Source organism: Homo sapiens, chromosome 12 (genome assembly GCF_000001405.40).
Source record: "Homo sapiens chromosome 12, GRCh38.p14 Primary Assembly".
In the NCBI taxonomy this organism is placed as follows: Eukaryota; Metazoa; Chordata; class Mammalia; order Primates; family Hominidae; genus Homo; species Homo sapiens.
The window spans coordinates 131,987,125-132,007,482 of NC_000012.12; the positions used below are offsets into that span (position 1 = coordinate 131,987,125).

Genomic DNA, 20,358 nt, shown 5'->3' on the forward strand with positions numbered 1-20,358 from the left:
GGTCCCTGCAGCCACCAGTCTGCAGCCCTGTGTTTGAGAGTCACTGCCCAGCCCTTAGCACTTACTTTGGGTTGGATGACTAAGCATTTATTTTGTTCAACTTCATTAGGGGAATTAAAAGAAATGTGTATCAAAATAGAGTGTCATAAACCCCATGTTCCCCATTATTTGATTTTATCACAGTGATCAGTATGCAGCTAGTCTCATTTCATTTATCCCACTCCTTTCCAGATTATCTAGAAGCAAATTCCAGACATCCTATGGTTTCCCATGTAAACACTTTGGTAGAAACATGAGGTTTTAAAGTTTTAGTCTGTTTTATAGAGCTGGGGCAGGACTATTGCTCCAGCTTCTTCTAAGGCTCCTGGAAGGGTCACATGCTCCTAGACCTCTCCTAGAACCACTTTGACCTTTGTGTTCGAATCTTACCTTTGATATTAAACTGGGACCTTGTGCTTTCTCTCTTTCTTAGTGCCTGACTGAGCCTTTTGCATAGTAGGGCTTCAAATTTCTGGGGTCTGAGTTGGTGGAACACACTCATCACATGCCGACCCCACCATCCCCCATGTATCATCTACAGGAGAACCAGGTGCATCAGCGCATTGCGGAGCTGAGGAAAGCAGGTCTGTGGTCCCAGAGGCGTCTGCCAAAGCTGCAGGAGGCCCCACGCCCCAAGTCCCACTGGGACTATCTGCTGGAGGAGATGCAGTGGATGGCCACAGACTTTGCCCAGGAGAGGAGGTGGAAGGTGGCTGCTGCGAAGAAGGTGGGTTGGAATGCGTGGAGCTGCTGTGCTGTGTGCGTTGGTGGGGGCTTGAGTTTGCAGTGGTGTAAGTGGTGGGGAGGTCTCCAGACCCACTTTTTTTTTTTTTTTTTTTTTTTTTCCCCCAGACAGGGTCTTGCTCTGTTGTCCAGGCTGGAATGTCCAGCTAATTTTGTGTTTTTTGCCACATTACCCAGACTGGTCTTGAATCCTGGGCTCAAGTGATTGCTCGCCTCGGCCTCCTGGAGTGCTGGGATTGCAGGCGTGAACCACTGTGCCTGGCAGACTCACTCTAGAGGCCTTAACCTGTGAAGTCTGGGAAGGATACTTCCCTGTTGTTTGGAGAATAACTGTGCTGTGTAATTAAGTCTCTGAGGTGGTGTCTTCAGAGCCCAGCATGCGTTGTTGGGATCAAGCCTGTGCTCAGTGCTCACCCACTAAGCAATGATGTGGATTTAGCTTCATTTTGTTGCCTGGCTTTGCCTGGCAGTTGGAGTTAGGATACCTGCAGTGCCACAGGTTCAGGCTGGTGGCTGGGGCTGTTCAGGGAGCTGAGAGGCTAAGAGTTAGAAGGCACCTGGTATCAGTCAAGGGACAGCAAGGGGCTGTCCTAGGCTTTCCTGCCTGGCCACACGGCCTCCTGCCCTTCCTCCTGGGCTTCTAGTCTAGCTTTCTCTTTAATTTTGGCTGAGAATTTATTTTTCTCCTAACTGTTGCCAAAGCAGGCGCAGAGTCCTTGGAAGACTCTGGAGGCCCTACTGCTAACACTAGAAAAGTGAGAACAAGTGGTAGATTTCTAGAAACCCCAGGCCTCAGTGGGAAGCAGCTGTGCTTTCACTGTGTGAACAGCCGTGGCCCTTCTTTATCCTCCTCATTACTGTGTCGCTGCCTCTGTTTCTTGGGCCCTAGGGTCTTTGTTCATATTTTCTGTACTCTTAACGCTATGGCCTTGTGTTCCATCCCTTGCCCTGTCCACTCCGTACCCAGAATTTTCCCCCTTGCTGTCTTCATGTAGGGTAGGCAGAGAGAAGCTGAGACCACAGGGTGAGAACCGTGGGGTTCTGAGGGTCAAGGGTCTCAAGTCAGATTCATAAGCATTCCAGAAAAACCCAGATTCTTCCTTAAACCAGCCTTTCCACAAAGAAGATAGTCCTGAACATGGTGGACACCAGGCTGGATAGGGCAGGAGGCCAGACGTGTAGATGCCAGGCTGGACATGTGGATGCTGGGCTGGATGGGTGGGGGCTGGCCGATGGGCTAGAGTGGGAGCTGGTGGGGTTGGCTGAAGAGCAGTGCAGCACCTACAGGGCACAGGCCAGGGCCATCTCTCAACAGCTGAGTGATGCATCTGCAGCCAGGCCTGCCCTTCCCCGTGCCTCCTGCCTCTCGCTGGGGTAGACAGGGAGAGGCTGCAGAGCAGCCCACCCCGATCAGGGCCTGTGTTGACGACAGTGAGCCCCGTTGGAGGCCGAGTGGGAACACGGCGTGTGCGCAGAGTCCTGGCGGTAGTTGAGTGCATTTCCATCCCTAGAACGGGCGTGGGGGTGACAGCCATTGTGCTCTCAGGGCTCCAAAGGTTTTCTCATCTTAATTCTCTCCACCCATTTGAGGTTCTGTTGGTGGGTATGTGAAGTGTCTAAACTTTTGGAAAGCAGTTTGACAATTTAAAGCAAAAGCTTTAAAAATGTGAATTATCGCAGCCCAATAATTTCTATAACTGGTGCAGCATTCATGAAATGAGATGCCGACCCATGTTTATTGAATGGAGAGATGTTAATCATCTATTAAATGGGAAAAGAAGATTATAGCACAATGTGGTATTCTAGTTTTGAGGAAAATAATGTGTATTTGGTGAAAAGTATAAAAACACTTTCTAGAAAAGTCAAGCTAAATATTGATGGTGGTTTTTGCTTATAGTCATGTTTCTCCTAATCCACCCTAAGAGCATACGAGGATGTATATGACAGTGAATTGTATGTAATTTTAGTCTGAGAAGATTTAAAAAAAGTTACATATCCTTTTTTTTCCAGCATGACATAGAGTACAACATACAATTCTTGCACTTTTATTCACCAGCTCGTTAGAACTGTGGTGCGCCATCACGAGGAGAAGCAGCTCCGTGAAGAAAGGGGGAAGAAGGAAGAGCAGAGCAGACTGAGGCGGATAGCCGCCTCCACGGCCCGGGAGATAGAGTGCTTTTGGTCGAATATTGAACAGGCGAGTGCTGCCGTTGTCATGGGGTCGTAAGAATCAGTCTGTCGGAGCTGGTGAGGCCACTTCCCGAGACCAGAGCTCGGGCACCTTGCTTAGGAAGCTTTCGAGCACCAGAGTCAGCAACGTGTGCACTCTCCTGGGCTGTTGCTTGTTGGCCTTTGAATGAGCTGCTCGTGCCTCCGTCTGTCTTGCACAGGGGATGCACCTCAGCTGTGGCTGCCCTCTGAGGTGCTTCATGCCGTGGAGGGGCTCTGGGCATTGTTTCAGGGTTAGCGTGAGTCACCACCACGGTTACTTCTAGAGCGGTCGCTCGCTCACTTGCTTTCCTTTTTTGAAATTTTAATTCTTACCTCACCACCTAATAGAACCTGGGCAGGATGTAGTTAGTATGAAATAAATGAAAAAGCACCAAACTGACGAGGCTGGAAAACACTGTTTTCAGACTCTGCTTATGTGCTTTAGTGTTTTGTATGCAGAACGTCTGTAATTCCCATCCTTAGTAATGTGCTTATTCATTTAATCCTTTGCATTTAGGTTGTGGAAATAAAACTACGAGTAGAATTAGAAGAAAAAAGGAAGAAGGCCTTAAATTTACAGAAAGTTTCCAGGAGAGGTAGGACCCTTTAAAAAAAGGCTCACCACGCTTGGGTGGTATTTTGTTCGGATTCTTTTCTCAGCAGGCAGTCTCCTGGCGCTGTGGCTTCCCACAGAGGACATCTGCTCATCAGCCAGCTGCCTGATTGTTACATTTCTCTTTGTGTGGCCATCCTAGTTTTATGCTTCAGTGCTTTTGAGATGTGCTAGTGTGAGTCAGCACCCCCAAGTTGATAAACTCTGGGACACAGAACTGGGGTTCAGTCCCTGGACAGTGAGTGAGGAGCTTCCTGAGGTGTTTGCCATGCAGGAGGATCCTTGGGTGCCTGGCTGGGTGACGCCTTCCTTTGATGTTTCTTCGGCAGCTGCCTCCGCTCGTTATGTGCCACTCCACTTAGGATGTGCACGGCACCAGTGGCAGCAGCATTCACTGTTTCCTTTGCCTCTGAGGACACCCCCAGGAGGGTGGGCATTGTGTTCCCCCATTATTGATGAGGAACCCGAGGCTGAGAGGTGGCTGCTGCTGAAAGTCATAGAGCCACAAGTTAGTAAAAACCACTGCCCTGCGTGATGATGATGAGGAGGCAGAACTCACGCGTCCTTCCTTTCCCTGCACGTGGGTGGAGGCAGCAGGACCCTGCCTGGAAAGCAGAGACGCCCTCGCCAAGCATGGGGGGCCTTGGGAACGAACTGTGCTCCTTGTCTCTCTAGGGAAAGAATTGAGACCTAAAGGATTTGACGCATTACAGGAAAGTTCTCTGGTAAGTTTGGGGTTGTTACTGTGCTGTGTGAGAAGGAGTAGAAGCAGCTCCAGTAGAGTGGGCCTTTTCATTCTTATCCAGAGGAATTTGTAGGCTGTGACTATTACTTCCTTTCTTTTCTTTTTTTTTTTTTTTTGTTTTAGAGACAGAGTCTTGCTCTGTCGCCCAGGCTGGAGTGAAGTGGCACGATCTCAGCTCACTGCAACCTCTGCCTCCCAGGTTCAAGCAATTCTCCTGCCTCAGCCTCCCGAGTAGCTAGGACTATAGGCGCACGCCACCACACCTGGCTAATTTTTTTTTTTTGTATTTTAGTAGAGATGGGGTTTCACCGTGTTGCCCAGGCTGGTCTCAAACTCCTGAGCTCAGGCATTCTGTCCGCCTTGGCCTCCCAAAGTGCTAGGATTACAGGCGTGAGCTACCGTGCCCCGCCTATTACTCCCTTTCATTATAGACTCAGTCTACTTTGAAAATAAACTGGTGCTTTATAGCCTTAGTCTCACGTGGGGTGTTAATTTGGCAGTGACAGCTGAACACAGTGAGCATTGATCATGTCCTCGCTCCCCCGCTGCCCTGCCCCGACCCCAAATGGAGGCTGAGGGCAGCCTAGCAGGCTTGCCCCGGGGCTCCCCCAACCTGTCCCATGGACACTGCTGTCTTGGTTTCCCATTCTGAGTGTTTGGATCTCATGCTTGTGGTTTTTCTTTCTTTTCTTTCAGGATTCAGGAATGTCTGGAAGAAAAAGAAAAGCTAGCATATCTTTGACTGATGACGAAGGTCTGTTCCCCCTCAGCACTATCTTTGTCATCTCCAGGGCTGCTGATGAGATGACACAGAGCTGCAGCGACTTGGGGTTTAGTCTTGTCATCTTCAGCTGGTTGGAAAGCTCAACCTTTGTATTTATCCAGATGTCTCTCAGTGTATAGAGTACTTTTTGTATCTCTAGAGGACTTGGGATGTTTTCTGGAGCAACATGGTCGTATCTGCTTTTTGAGGTTTGGAAACTTGGGTGCATCTTGGAGAGTGTTGGGGCCCCATGCTCCTGTGGCACAGGGCCAAGCCTGTTTCTGTCCTTGAGAGGTGGCCCTGGTATGTCCTCTGGTAGACCCATGGTTGCCAGCCATTGGGATTTCAGGAGAAACTCATGTGAATTTTAGATGTTGGAGAAACCTGGTTCAGATGAGAACAGATACCTGAGCACTCAGTGTGTGAGCTGGGGACAGCCCACGGCCATGACCTATTTCCAAACCCATGTGGATTGAGTACAGAAGTCCTCAGGAGCAGACTGGATTTTTAGAGACAGAGTGGGGAGCAGGAGTAGAGAGGTTGGAGAAACTTTCTTGGGCGTTTGTGTGGCGGTTCCTGTCAGGTGCCAGGTAAGGCCTGCAGTTTCTCCTTCGGCTCTTTGATCAGCATCAGTGTGGTTTTATTGGCTTGGTTTGGTGAAGTGTGTTAACTTTTCCAAATTTTTGAAGATTGATCTTTGCTATGTGTTGATTTTTATTTGGAAGTCAACAGGGAGTTTGGCCAGATTGTTGGCATGAAACTGGCAGTATTCAGTTCTGCTGCGTATGACAGAAACAAAACAACAGTGTGGCAGATGAGTGAGGAGCCTGAGGGCACATGGCCCAGGACTGGCACAGCATTGTGGTGGCATTTTCAGGCCCCTCCCAAGCGATTCTCTTGCCTCAGCCTCCTGAGTAGCTGAGACTACAGGTGCGGACTACTACGCAGCTAATTTTTGTATTTTTAGTAGAGATGGGGTTTCACCATGTTGGCCAGGCTGGTCTCAAACTCCTGACCTCAGGTAATCCACCCGCCTCAGCCTCCCAAAGTGCTAGGATTACAGGTGTGAGCCACCACACCTGGCCTGGTGCTGAATTCTAGATAGTACCATCCTGCACTGGGGATGGATTGAACTCTGGCCTTTCAGACAACAAGAGAAGCACAACAGAGTACAGTAGGTTTGTGTCTTTCTTGTTACCTGGAAAGGATTAGGTCATTTCTTCATGAGGAACACCTTTTCTCTGGCCTGCACTCTGGTAGCTGCGGTCGGCTTTATGTAGATTGACCTCTCCGCTTTCCTTATTTTCTCACATTCTCAGGAGCACATTTGTGTACAGTCATGTGTTTCTTAACAACGGGGATATATTCTGAGAGATGCGTTGCTGGACAATTTTGTTGTTATGTGAACGTACAAAGTACTCACCCAAACCTAGATGGTGCAGCCTGTGCCTCCGGCTACAAACCTGCACACAGGTGACTCTCCTGAATCCTGTGGGTAATTGGAATATAGTGGTATTTGTGCATGTAAACATATCTTGACACAGGAAAGGTAATGTAAAGATACGGTATTACAGTCTTACAGGGTCCCATTGCATATGCGGTCCATTGTTGGCAGAAACGGCATTATGTGGTGCTCAACTGTATTGAAACAGACTTTTATTTGACTTCTGTTTAATGCCTAAAGATGTCTTAGGGTAACTCAGAGAAGGCCAAATTAACCACCCGAGGTCGTCTTTACTTTTCTTTTCCAAAATTCCACCCTGGAAACCAAGTGATCAGAAGGCAGAAGGAATGGCAGAAGGCGTTTCCAAGAGGAGGGGATGGCCAGGCCTGTCGTGAGCCACCAGGGTGTCGAGTACAGTCAGGAAAGGCAGCACCTGGAGGCCCAGCGACTTGTGTGGTTGGGGTCAGGTGCCTAGGCCTTCTTGGTGGGCAGTGGGGGTCTTGTAGTGAAGAAATGAGGAAGAGTTTTGATGGTAGGAAGGGAGAGATGTTATGTTAGATTGTGAGAGAAGAAAAGTTGAGAGCCAGCTGAGAGGAGAGATGGTGCAGGCCCCCTGCAGGCCCCCAGGTGGGGAGAGGGTCCGTGGACAGAGGGAGTTTGGCTGTGGGGATGCTGGTAGCTGCTCTTTTCTCTGCCAGGAGCCAAGATCTCTATGGCGAGTGAGGCGTGAGGTTCAGGGCTGGAGGGCTGAAGAGAGCGGAGTGGGCTTGGGTTGGTGATTGTGGAGGACAGGAGAGTCAAGGAGAGTGTTAGGCTGATGTGGCTGGGCCTCGTGAGATGGGCGATGATGACTTCACGGTGATCCCAGATGGCATGCCTGTGGGCTTTCCACAGTGGGGCTCTGCAGGAAGGTAGGAGGGTTGACAGCATTCCGTATGTTGGCCTGAAGAAGGTCTGCCATGTGTGGAAAAACCAGGGCTGTCATTCACAGCCTGAAGTGGAAGGGGAAATACACTTCCAGTTTCCTGCCCATTTAATTAAATTTAACCTGAGAAGTTTAAAAGCTCAGTTTCAATTTCTGTAATAGCTATGCAAAATAATTTCGAAGCCTTATAGTGTGTAATGAGTAACAGACACTCAAGTGGTGTTGCCTCTCAGTGACACTTGCTGATAACCATTTTAGTGGACGATGAAGAGGAAACAATTGAAGAGGAGGAAGCAAATGAAGGCGTTGTGGACCACCAAACAGAACTTTCTAATTTAGCCAAGGAAGGTAGGCTGTTGCTACCTTATTAAACATTCAGTAAGTAAAAAGAAACATTTAAAACATGTGAGATGTGAATAATAATATATTGAGTAACAACAGCAGCAGTGCCTGTTTTATGGAAAACAGTCCCTGTGTGCCTCCTGCTGCTCTCTCTCCTGACCTGGAGGTCCTGGCCCTCCTGGGTTGTGTGTCGGACACTGCCCTGACTGTCTTTCTTCCCTGCCACCTGCGTGTGTCTCCCTGAATGTACCGTTCATCTTGAGTGTGTGAGAACTTCATATGAATGAATCCACCACAGCTTGACTGAATGTGCCGTTCATCCTGAGTGTGTGAGAACTTCATGTGAATGAATCCCACCACAGCTTGACTGAATGTACCGTTCATCTTGAGTGTGTGAGAACTTCATACCAACGAATCCCACCACAGCTTGACTGAATGTACCGTTCATCCTGAGTGTGTGAGAACTTCATGTGAATGAATCCACCACAGCTTGACTGAATGTACCGTTCATCTTGAGTGTGTGAGAACTTCATGTGAATGAATCCCACCACAGCTTGACTGAATGTACCGTTCATCTTGAGTGTGTGAGAACTTCATGTGAATGAATCCCACCACAGCTTGACTGAATGTACCGTTCATCCTGAGTGTGTGAGAACTTCACGTGAATGAATCCACCACAGCTTGACTGAATGTGCCGTTCATCCTGAGTGTGTGAGAACTTCACGTGAATGAATCCACCACAGCTTGACTGAATGTGCCGTTCATCCTGAGTGTGTGAGAACTTCATGTGAACGAATCCCACCACAGCTTGACTGAATGTACCGTTCATCTTGAGTGTGTGAGAACTTCATGTGAACGAATCCCACCGCAGCTTGACTGAATGTGCCGTTCATCCTGAGTGTGTGAGAACTTCATACGAACGAATCCCACCACAGCTTGACTGAATGTACCGTTCATCCTGAGTGTGTGAGAACTTCATACGAACGAATCCCACCACAGCTTGACTGAATGTACCGTTCATCCTGAGTGTGTGAGAACTTCATACGAACGAATCCACCACAGTTTGATGGGCTTGCTCTCTCTACTCAGCCTGGATGTCCTGAGTTTCAGCCACAGTGTTAGGTGTTGCTATCAGTGTCTTTGCCAGGCAGTATTCTTTTTGTAAATATGTGACCGACTCTTTTTTGTGCTGTTGGTGGCCATTCACCTGGTTCCCTGTGTTTGCTGTGAGCATTCTCCTATTCCCCAGGCACGTGTGCATGAGTGGCTTGCCTGTGCTCAGGGGCAGGAGAGTAACTGTTGTTTAGAGTGGGGGTGCCAAGCTCCACATCTCAGGAAGGAACTCTTTTTTTTTTTTTTTTGAGATGGAGTCTCGCTGTCACCCAGGCTGGAGTGCAGTGGCGTGATCTCGGCTCACTGCAAGCTCTGCCTCCTGGGTTTACGCCATTCTCCTGCCTCAGCCTCCTGAGTAGCTGGGACTACAGCCGCCCGCCACCACGCCCGGCTAATTTTTTGTATTTTTAGTAGAGATGGGGTTTCACCATGTTAGCCAGGATGTTCTGCATCTCCTGACCTCATGATCCACCCGCCTCAGCCTCCCGAAGTGCTGGGATTACAGGCTTGAGCCACCGCGCCCAGCCTAAGAAGGAACTCTTTTTAAAAACAATTACATATATATATCTTTAGTTTTATTGCCATTCTTTAATTGCTGTAACACATCTCAAGAACTCTTGATATTGTCTGCCACTCTGGGGGTAAAAAGTAGTATCTCCTTGTGGCTTTAATTTGCACTTTTGTGATAACTGATGAAGTGAAGCATCTTTTCGTGTTTCTTCCTTTGTTCATTTTGGCTTATTTTGGTGTTTTCTTTCCTTATTGACTTGTTGGTGATGGTCTTTATATATTCTGGACATGAATTCTTGGTCAGTTCTGTGTTGCAGTGACATTTTCCCAGTTGGTGGTGTGTCTTTTCACTCTTTGCAGTACCTTTCGATGAAAGGCGTTCTTAATTTCAGCATACAGCAAGTCCTCATTTAATGTTGTCAATAAGTTCCTGGAAACTGCAACTTTAAGTGAAATGACGTTACATTAATGTTGTTTTATTATAGCCATGAGGAAAAAAAAATTGGTTTTGTTATACAGTTGACCCTTGAACAATGTGGGGATTAGGAGTGCCAACCCGCCCCCACCACCTGCACTGTTGAAAATTTGCATATAGCTTTTGACTCCTTCAAAACTTACTAATAGCCTACTGTTGACTGGAAGCCTTATCAATAACATGAAACAGTCGATGAACACATATTTTATGTGGTTTTTTTCTTTTTCTTTTTTTTTTTTTGAGACAGAGTCTCACTCTGACACCTAGGCTGGAGTGAGTGGCGGATCACAGCTCATTGCAGCCTTGACTTCTTGGGCTCAGACGATCCTTCCACCTCAGGCTCCCAAGTAGCTGGGACTATAGTGCGCGCTACCACGCCCAGCTGATTTTTGTGTTTTTTGTAGATACGGGATTTCAGGCTAGTCTCAAACTCCTGGGCTCAAGCGAGCCTCCCATCTTGGCTTCACAAAGTGCTGGGTTTACAGGTGTGAGCCATCGTGCCTGGCCTATTTTGTATGTTATGTGTATTTAATATTACGTACTGTATTCTTACAACAAAGTAAGCTGGAGAAAAGAAAATGTTGTTAAAAAATAAGGAAGAGAAAATACATTTACTATTTATTAAGTGGAAGCGAATAATTATAAAGGTCTTCATCCTCGTCATCTTCACGTTGAGTAGGATGAGGAGGGAGTGGGGGAGGGGGAGGGGAAGGGGTTGGTCCTGCTGTGGATAAAATCTGCATGGAAGAGGACCCTCACAGTTCCAACCCAAGTTGTCCACCGATCAGCTATACGTCATTTTGCTCAAAGTTACAATTTCTAAGAACCAACCTATTGATGATGTTTAGTGAGGACTTACTGTAGTTGAATTTGTCAATCTTGTTCACAAAGATATATCATCTAAAATTTTTCTGCTTTTACTCTTAGGTTGTGAAATGAGTGCAGTTTCCTTTTTTTCCCCAAAATGCATATTTGGAAAGCCATATTGAAAAGCCTATCTTTTCCCCACTGATCTTAAGTGCCAGCTCAGACGTAAAACAGGTTTCCTTCTATGCATGGCTCTTTCTGGGATCTTTATTCTTTTATTGGCAAATTTGTACCAGTCTGTACTGATACCACACTGTCTTTCTTACTATAGCTTTATAATAGTTCTTGATGTCTGGTTAGGTAAGTTCTTCTGCCTTGCTCTGTGTTAGGAGGATCTTGTCTATTTGGGGACTATTTCAGAAACATGCTAGAATCAGCTCATCAAGTTTCACAGAAAAACCTATTGGGAGTTTTGATTAGAATTTAATTGCATTAATGGATGTTTTGTGAGAATTGCTGTCTTTATGAAGTTCAGCCTTTCCAGTCTATGATCAAAATATAGTTCTCCCCTTCACTTAGGTCTTCCTAAATAGCTTTCCATAAAATTTCATGATTGTGTCTCTTTTGTTAGATTTAATTCTAGGTACTATATATTTTTAAAAGTTGTGCTAAATGGTATATTTTCTAAAATTATATTTTAAATATATTGCTGGTATGTGTCAGTACAGTTGATTTTATTTCTCTTATACTCAGCAACTTTTCTGAACTCTGTTTGTTAATTCTTTGTATACAGTCTTGTATACAAAGACTTTGTATACAGTCTTGTATACAAAGACTTTGTATACAGTCTTGTATACAAAGACTTTGTATACAGTCTTGTATACAAAGACTTTGTATACAGTCTTGTATACAAAGACTTTGTATACAGTCTTGTATACAAAGACTTTGTATACAGTCTTGTATACAAAGACTTTGTATACAGTCTTGTATACAAAGACTTTGTATACAGTCTTGTATACAAAGACTTTGTATACAGTCTTGTATACAAAGTCTTTGTATACAGTCTTGTATACAAAGTCTTTGTATACTTCTCTGAAGAGTTTTTCCTTTATAATCCTTGTTCCTTTTATACTACTTTTTCTTGCCGTTTTGTGCTAGGTAGGACTTTCAGTAAAGTGTTGAGTTCGTGCTAGTGGTGGACAACATTGGCTTGTTCTTGCTTTGAAAGAGAGCACTTTCAGTAGAAAGGCAGATTATTAGAGTTTTGAGTCATAACTGCATGGTTCAAACCTAATGTTTGTTGCCTACTGACCCCACGGCCTCGGTCAGGTTGTCTGAGCTCTCCGTGGTGTTTTTCTCAGTTGTAAATGGGATAACCAGTGTTCTTCTGAGGATTTGCAGTGCGTGGAAGCCTTGGCCTGACGTGTCCTACGGTGTGCTCTTCACTGCTGCTCTCAGGATGACTATGATGATACCTTTAATGTTTCATAAATGGACATAGTGTATAGGGTTCTTGTAGATATTTTTATAAGATTAGTGAAGTTTGTATCTATTCTTCAGTGTTTATGTTGTAGGTGGGTATTGCATGCTTTGTTTGTTTGTTTTGACAGTCTTGCTCTGTCGCCCAGGCTGGAGTGCAGTGGCACGATCTCAGCTCACTGCAACCTCCGCCTCCTGGGTTCAAGCGATTCTCCTGCCTCAGCCTCCTGAGTAGCTGGGATTATAGGCACCAGCCACCATGCCTGGCTATTTTTTATATTTTTAGTAGAGATAGGGTTTTACCGTGTTGCCCAGGCTGGTCTCCAACTCCTGACCTCAGGTGATCTGCCCACCTGAGCCTCCCAAAGTGCTGGGGTTACAGGCTGAGCCACCGTGCCTGGCCCTCATACATTAAATTGAGGAATATGACTTTTTCTTTTCTTCATAGTCAATTATGATAGTCAAATTTTCTAGGAATTTCTTTATTTCATCTACATTTTAAAATTTATTGGCATACATTGTCAATAATTTCTCCTTACAGTGTTTCCGATCTTGGCTGTGTTTGTATGTATGTCCCTTCTTTCTCCTAATACTGTGTATTTATGCCTGTTTTCTTGATAGTCTTGTCAAAAGTTTGTCAGATTCTTTTTTTTTTTTTTTAATCTGGCGCCTGTATATTGTTTTCTGTTTTGTTTCTGCTCGTAGTATTTCTTTTTTAAAAACATCTTTTTCTGAGTTTTTAACTTGGATGACTAGCTTCCTAATTTTCATCAGCTCATTAATATAAACATTTAAGGGTCTGAATTTTTCCGTAATACTGCTTTAGCTGAATATCATATTTATTATTCAGTTTTAAATATTTTCTGATTTCCCCTGTATATATATTTTATTGACCCATGAGTTATTTAGAAGGATGTTTCTTAATTTCCAAACAATACAGGGTTTTCAATATATATTTTTATTATTATTCTACATTAATTGCATTTTGATCAGACAGAAGATGTATGGGATTCTCACTGACCTGGATTTTGTTGAGGTAGGTTTTGAATGGACCAGTTTATAAACATTCCATACATGCTTTAAAACAACATGCATTCATCAGGTTATGGTACAATTCTCTCTCTCAGTCCACCAGGTAGAACTTGTTGATTGCATTATCCAGTTCTTATCCTTACTGATTTTTGTCTTCTTGCTCTATCAATTACTGAGAGAAGTATGTTAAAATGTTCCATTATGATAATGAGTACCTATTTCTCCTTAAGTTTCTGTCAGTTTTCATTTTATGTATTTTGAGACTATGTTAGTATGTGCATATATAGGTTTAGAATTGTTATCCTATTACGTCATCAGTTTTACTTGATTCTAGATAATTTTATCACATCTGTGTTCTATTTTATGAATTCTCTTTTAAGCTCTTCCTAGTCTTTTGTTAACCCATTGATTAAGTGTTAAATTCCAGTTACCAGTTTGTTTTAAGACATTCCCAATGGTTTTTTAGAAAACCTACATGAAATTTTAAAATTATCTCTTGCTCTGTATTCAGACTTTCAGTCATCTCTTTTATTTCTTCAAATATGAAATTTTATAATCTCTGCCTAATAATTGCATGGGTGATGTTTTTGCAGGTCTGATTCTGCTGTCGTTTATGAATCCTGGTTTCTGCTGATGGTACATTGTTTCCTAGCGTACTTTGTGATTTTTGACAATTTATTGGTGTAGGGACCAGCCCCACAGGGTCGGTGGGTTTCTTCCCACCGTGTGTGGAGACGAGAGATTGTGGAAATAAAGACACGAGACAAAGAGATAAAAGAAAAGACAGCTGGGCCCAGGGGACCACTCCCACCAAGACGCGGAGACTGGTAGTGGCCCCGAATGTCTGGCTGCGCTATTATTTATTGGATACAAAGCAAAAGGGGCAGGGTAAATAGTGTGAGTCATCTCCAATGATAGGTAGGGTCACGTGGGTTACGTGTCCACTGGACAGGGGGCCCTCCCCTGCCTGGCAGCCGAGGCAGAGAGAGAGAGACAGCTTACGCCATTATTTCTGCATATCAGAGACTTTTAGTACTTTCACTAATTTTGCTACTGTTATCTAAAAGGCAGAGCCACGTGTACAGGATGGAACATGAAAGCAGACTAGGAGTGTGACCACTGAAGCACAGCATCACAGGGAGACGGTTAGGCCTCCGGATAACTGTGCGTGGGCCTGACTGATGTCAGGGCCTCCACAAGAGGTGGAGGAGTAGAGTCTTCTCTAAACTCCCCACAAGGAAAGGGAGACTCCCTTTCCCGGTCCGCTAAGTAGCAGGTGTTTTTCCTTGACACTGAGGCTACAACAGGCGTCTTCCCAGATCCTGGCGTTACCGCTAGACCCAGGAGCCCTCTGGTGGCCCTGTCCGGGCATAACAGAAGGCTCGCACTCTTGTCTTCTGGTCACTCCTCACTATGTCTCCTCAGCTCCTATCTCTGTATGGGCTGGCTTTTCCTAGGTTATGATTATAGAGCGAGGATTATTATAATATTGGAATAAAGAGTAATTGCTACAAACTAGTGATTAATGATATTCGTATATAATCATGTCTATGATCTAGATCTAGTATAACTCTTGTTGTTTTATATATTTTATTACACTGGAACAGCTCGTGCCCTCGGTCTCTTGCCTCGGCACCTGGATGGCTTGCCGCCCACATATTGGAACTTCATTGTGGAAGTTACTTTAGGCCTGACAGTGAAGGAGTTTCCTCTAGAGAGAGTTTCTGTTAACTTCTGATCTGTGTTCTTTTGTAAAGCATGTCTCTTGTAAACAGCATATAGTTGGTCTTCTCTGCCCTACAGTTTATTCTAATGTCCCTATGTCTCTAAATTGGAGTGTTTAGTACATTTGTATTAAATTTAAGCCTGTTCTATTAATAATTGGGCCTAGATCTATCCTAATTTTAAAATTTATCTTGTATTTTCTCACCTGTTCTTTAGTCAATCTCTTTATGGTTAAAGCATCAGGCAAGTATTTACAAATTATTTCATTTCCTCTTCTCTGTTAGCTTTCTGTATTCTTGTTGTAGGGGCTATCTGATTATGGTGCGCATTCTTGACTTACTAGATATCCTATTAAATTAGCGCTGTATACTCTGTGGGGCAGAGTTTGGGAGCAGCCTTGCTGGGTGGTTGTGGCACAGGTCTCCTGTGAAGATGGTTTTCAGAAGGCTTGATGTAGCAGGCTGGAGGATGCCATTCCAGGCTGGTTCATTCTGCCAGCTGATGGGCTCTGGTTGCATGCTGAGGGCAGGCTGAGTGTCCTCCTGACCTGGGGCTGGTGTCCGAGAGCAAATATCCATGAGGGAGCAGGATAGACACTGTAGTATCTTTTGTAGCTGAGTCTTGGAAGTCACCTACGGTCATTCTCACATATGGTGGTCACACCGGTCAGGCCAGGTCAGTGTGGGAGAGACCAGGAGTGAACACCAGGAGGTGGGTTCCTGGGGATCCCATTGTCTTTATGGTGTCGAGCTGAATCCATGAGCAGAGCCTCTCATTGGGTCAAGGCTTCTTCATGGTCTTCAGGAACCTCTTAGAGCTTTCTTCACAGAGATGTGGAATTTTTGAAAGTTTAATTCTAAGTATATTTAGCTCTTCATGTCCATGGGTTTCAAATCCATGAATTTGATCAACTACAGATAGAAAATATTTACCAAAAACAAAACAAAGCAAAACAGTAAAAAATAAGAACACAGCTGGGTGTGGTGGCTCACACCTGTAATCCTGGCTGCTTGGGAGACTGAGGCAGGATGGTCACTTGAGCCCAGGAGTTCAAGTTCAGCCTGGGCAACATAGCAAGACCCCATCTCTAAAAGAAATATTAAAAAAAAAAAAAACAGCCAACCAAAAAAACCCCCCAAACCAAATAAGCCAAAATAACAGTACAACAATTACAAAAAAGATACCAAAAAAATGTGTAACAACTATTTACATAGCATTCACATTGTATTAGGTATTATAAGTAACCTAGAGATTATTTAAAATATATGAGAGGATGTGTATAGGTTACGTGCAAATATACATTACTTTATATAAGGGACTTGAGCATCCTTGGATTTTGGTATCGAAAGGGGCCTTGGAACCACCTTCTCAGGGATACTGAGGGACGACTGTATTTAATTTTCTGTCTAAACAGGTTTTTTTTTCTTCGATTTCATTTTCTAACTCATTTCCATATGTGGAGGCTGATTTCTGTGTATTGTTTGTTCTGAGACACCTTACAGAATTATCTTCTTACTGGAAGTTTCCAGTGGTTTGGCTTGTTTTTCCTACTTACATATAGCATCATATGCTGTAGTGGTGCATCCCAGCATTTCGCTCTGGAAGCATCAGACAGACAGGAAAGGTGAAGAACCTTGTTAGGAACATCATGGACACACCACCTGAATTCCACAGCCAACACTTACTTTCACTGGGCTCCATTAGGTCTATGTCCATCAAGCCAGTGTGGCAAATATTTAACATCCTGAGCAAATGAATTCAAAAAGTGTTTTGCTAGTCCCAAGTGGACAGTGCCTTTAACATGGTCCTTGTAGGGTGCTTGTCCATGGCATTTGTTGTTTTGGCTCAACAGTCTTTGACATAAAATACAGATGCAAACAAGCTCACATATCACAAGTACACAGCCCAACTAAAGGGTTTTCCCCTGTTAGATCTACCACTGTGTGAACATTCTTTGAACAGAAATCTGGGTTCACATTTCTGTCATTCCTCTGGATAGACTCACTAAAAGGGGAAATGATGAGGTTGAGGGCATTGGATTCCAAAGCCCTTCAGCTTTCCGTGTTGATTTCCAGAAAAATCCAGCCAGTTTATGCCATTATCAGCAGCATGTGGGAGTATCTAATTCATAATAATTTCCCAGTGTTATGATTTTAAGGTGGTTGATAATTTGGTACTTAACAAATTGTGCACTGATTTCCAGGGATGATTAATGAAAAAACATTTTATTGCCCTTTACACTTTTATGTATGTAACAGCTTCATATCCTTTGCCCACTGTTATTGGGGATTTAATTAATGTGTGGTATTTTTTTTTAAGCAATTAGGGTGAGTGTTTTATAAAAAAAGCTTAATTATGTTTTATTATACTTTTTAACATTTTTGCTTTTTGTTTCTTCATTTGATATTTTGTATTTTTATATATCATCTTCATCAGTTATTTCCTATCAATGGTGTTCACTTTTTACATTTTTATTTATTAGTCTATACTGTTACTGTTCATTTAGATTATTTCAGATATTTTAAATCTTTTGTGAATACAATTGAGTTTCTTTCAAAGATTCTCATCTTTATAGAGAAAATATTTTATACTTTTAAAAATTTGCATAAATTTCAGGGGTGCAAGTACAGTGCTGTTTCCTGGCTGTACTGTGTAGTGGTGAAGTCTGGGTCTCTGGTATGTCATGACCCAAATGTGTGTTGCACCTACTAAGTAATTTCTCATCATTCCCCTTGCATCCCCCAACAAAATATTTTACACCTTTTATCAGTAATGGGCAACCATTTTAGTTTTTAGAAAAAACAAGTGTGCTTTTAGACAATATAATCTTTTTCCAAGGAGTGATCTAAAGCTGGAAAAAGGAATACATGTGAGAGGGAGCCCCTTGCCCTTCTTACCGTGGTTCTCCTGGCTGCTGCTCCTTCCCAATTTAAATTACAGTTGTTGTTATAAAGTAACAGCCCTTCTGCCCGCAACCCTCTGCAGCTGAGCTGCCCCTCCTGGACCTGATGAAGCTGTACGAAGGCGCCTTCCTGCCGAGTTCTCAGTGGCCCCGGCCGAAGCCTGATGGGGAGGACACAAGCGGAGAGGAAGGTGCGCTCCCAGCCTTTGGAAGAATTCAGGGTTAAAAGCAGAAGCCGGAGTACTTACAAAGACTTAAAATAAGATTTAGAAAATTTCTTTTAGTTTGATAAAATAAAAAATTAGAAATATTTAATAAGTATCTTTATATTGAATAGAATTTTATTAAATTCCGTGCTTTTAATTTATTAACCTGGCACAGTTATCGGGGCACTTGATCATGTTGTGAAGGATGTAAAAATATTTTTCTCTAGATTTATAAACATCATTGTTTTATGGACCTAGATATATTTATTCAGGCTGTGCTGTGTTTGTTCAACACACCAGTTTTGAGTAGTTTATTTTACTTGGTATTAGACTTTCTAAACAGATGCACAGAGCATACCAGAAAAGGTCTGCCTTTCCTGCTCTCATTCCAGTTGTTGGGACAGTTAGACACCTGCATGCGAGTTGGGGAGTGGCCCACAGGAGCCTTGGGGAGGTCAGGCCTTACCAGACCCCACGCTGCCAGCAGGACCAGAGGAAGGAGTGGCGGGTTTGGTCTCCTCCCGGTTTCCCACATTTGGGAAAGGGTTCTGCTTTTTTCTTTCTTGGTGATAGACGGGAGATCCCTAAACCCTGAGACACCTACATGTATCTCTCTGTGATACCAGCTCCTAATTGCTATGGAGACATTTTCCAAAATGCCAGACTATTTGGGGCAAATTATACTCTTGGAGGGCTTTCCAGAATGGTCCTTGGTTTGATAGTTTCATGAGAGTTCTCTCCCATTTATCCAGGTAGCATTGTTAGATATTTTGGATTACAAATAAAAAATTATTGCCTAATTCAGTATTTAAAGTAGTTGGATTCTATAAACTTTTTCCTGTTTTAAAAAAAGGTTTAGATTTATAAAGCCTTCTCAGTGGCCCTCACTTCTCTGTTTTATTGTCGTTACAGATGCAGATGACTGTCCAGGCGACAGGGAGAGTCGCAAGGACTTGGTTCTCATCGACTCGCTTTTCATCATGGATCAGTTCAAAGCTGCCGAGAGGATGAATATCGGGAAGCCAAACGCCAAGGACATTGCGGACGTCACTGCGGTGGCTGAAGCCATCCTGCCGAAGGGCAGTGCTCGGGTCACAACCTCGGTGAGGCGCTAAGCTTTCAAGTGTGGGATGGGCCTTTGAGAGACAGAGCACATAGCTTAGCCATGAGAAAAGCTTTTCCTCTTCCCAGTGAAATGGTCTATCCCAACTGCAGAGTTGTCAGAAAAAGCAATTCTTCATGTGCCTGTAGTCCCAGCTACTCAGGAGGGTGAGGCAAGAGGATTGCTTAAGGCCAGATGTTCAGGCGTTCAAGACCAGCTTGGGTGACCTAGCGAGACTCGATCTCCAAAAGAAGCAATTCTTCCTCTTCCTGTTTTCTGTAGATCATTTTTGTGGCTTTCTAATTGGTTTATCATGTGACTGTTGATTTCAGTTTTGAGAAAAAGTTTGGGTGATTATTTTGACGAGCTGTCATTCTTTTATTTGTTCATCACTGCAGGTCAAGTTTAATGCTCCATCTTTGTTGTATGGGGCTCTCAGAGATTATCAGAAGATTGGCCTGGACTGGCTGGCCAAACTTTACAGGAAGAATCTCAATGGCATATTGGCAGATGAAGCTGGGCTGGGTAAAACAGTGCAGATCATTGCTTTTTTTGCCCACCTAGCTTGTAACGAAGGTAAGAGTTTGCTAGTTTTTTTAACAATACCTATTTGCTAGGACTTACCTATAGGCCAGTGTGTTTGATGGGAGTGTGGGGACTTGGCTATCTTATCTACTTCTTTGCTCCTATCTGTTGACCTGAGCAAATTGAGGCTCAGAAGTATTCATTTTATGAATGAATAAAAAACTGGTTCACAGTTAACATCCAGTAACAATTAGTGAAAATCTAATAAAATACAGAGACTCGTCAGGCTATGACTGAACCTTGTGACTCCAGGGTCAGGTCACTGTGCAGTGTGTGGGCAGCAGAGCAGGTGGTCCACTTCCCATGCTGCTTCTAGACTGGCATGAACCCGCCGTTGGGCTCTCAGCCGTGTGGGGTGGTTTGTGGCATGCATCTTGGCTCACTGTATCCTTTTCATGTTATCATGTCCATGCCTCCTCTCGTCCCTCTTGCTGGATTTCACCTGTCAATGGGGCAGCGTTTCTGATCCACTGCTCAGGTTCCTTAGGGAATGGGCCTGGGTACACTGTGTGGGCTCAGTCTCTGCATGGCAGCCCCAACTGGCTCTTCACCCTCCTGACACTTCTAGCTGGTACACAGCTTGTGTAGGCCCTCTG

At 44.1% G+C, this 20,358-nt stretch overlaps 1 protein-coding gene across 1 annotated transcript in view, besides 3 other annotated features; it reads left to right on the forward strand.

The window, feature by feature from the left end:
- EP400 (E1A binding protein p400) overlaps positions 1-20,358 on the forward strand; it is a 130,519-nt gene that overhangs the window by 37,183 nt on the left and 72,978 nt on the right. Inside the window, exons 7-15 of the mRNA NM_015409.5 lie at positions 581-766; positions 2,840-2,980; positions 3,512-3,590; positions 4,283-4,332; positions 5,049-5,106; positions 7,743-7,832; positions 17,953-18,060; positions 18,988-19,178; positions 19,576-19,753. Of these exons, the coding sequence (NP_056224.3) occupies positions 581-766; positions 2,840-2,980; positions 3,512-3,590; positions 4,283-4,332; positions 5,049-5,106; positions 7,743-7,832; positions 17,953-18,060; positions 18,988-19,178; positions 19,576-19,753 (1,081 nt within the window). The remainder of the gene's footprint in view (positions 1-580; positions 767-2,839; positions 2,981-3,511; positions 3,591-4,282; positions 4,333-5,048; positions 5,107-7,742; positions 7,833-17,952; positions 18,061-18,987; positions 19,179-19,575; positions 19,754-20,358) is intronic.
- Positions 199-849: an enhancer, noted in NCBI's record as "H3K27ac-H3K4me1 hESC enhancer chr12:132471868-132472518 (GRCh37/hg19 assembly coordinates)". NCBI's record gives its function as "activates a minimal SCP1, AML or CMV promoter by ChIP-STARR-seq in naive H9 embryonic stem cells {active_cell/tissue: H9 hESC(naive)}" and the evidence as "EXISTENCE:reporter gene assay evidence [ECO:0000049][PMID:30033119]".
- Positions 1,500-2,149: an enhancer, noted in NCBI's record as "H3K27ac-H3K4me1 hESC enhancer chr12:132473169-132473818 (GRCh37/hg19 assembly coordinates)". NCBI's record gives its function as "activates a minimal SCP1, AML or CMV promoter by ChIP-STARR-seq in naive H9 embryonic stem cells {active_cell/tissue: H9 hESC(naive)}" and the evidence as "EXISTENCE:reporter gene assay evidence [ECO:0000049][PMID:30033119]".
- Positions 18,670-19,869: an enhancer, noted in NCBI's record as "CDK7 strongly-dependent group 2 enhancer chr12:132490339-132491538 (GRCh37/hg19 assembly coordinates)". NCBI's record gives its function as "activates an origin of replication core promoter dependent on BRD2, BRD4, P300/CBP, MED14 and CDK7 cofactors, with strong dependence on CDK7, by STARR-seq in HCT116 cells {active_cell/tissue: HCT116}" and the evidence as "EXISTENCE:reporter gene assay evidence [ECO:0000049][PMID:35650434]".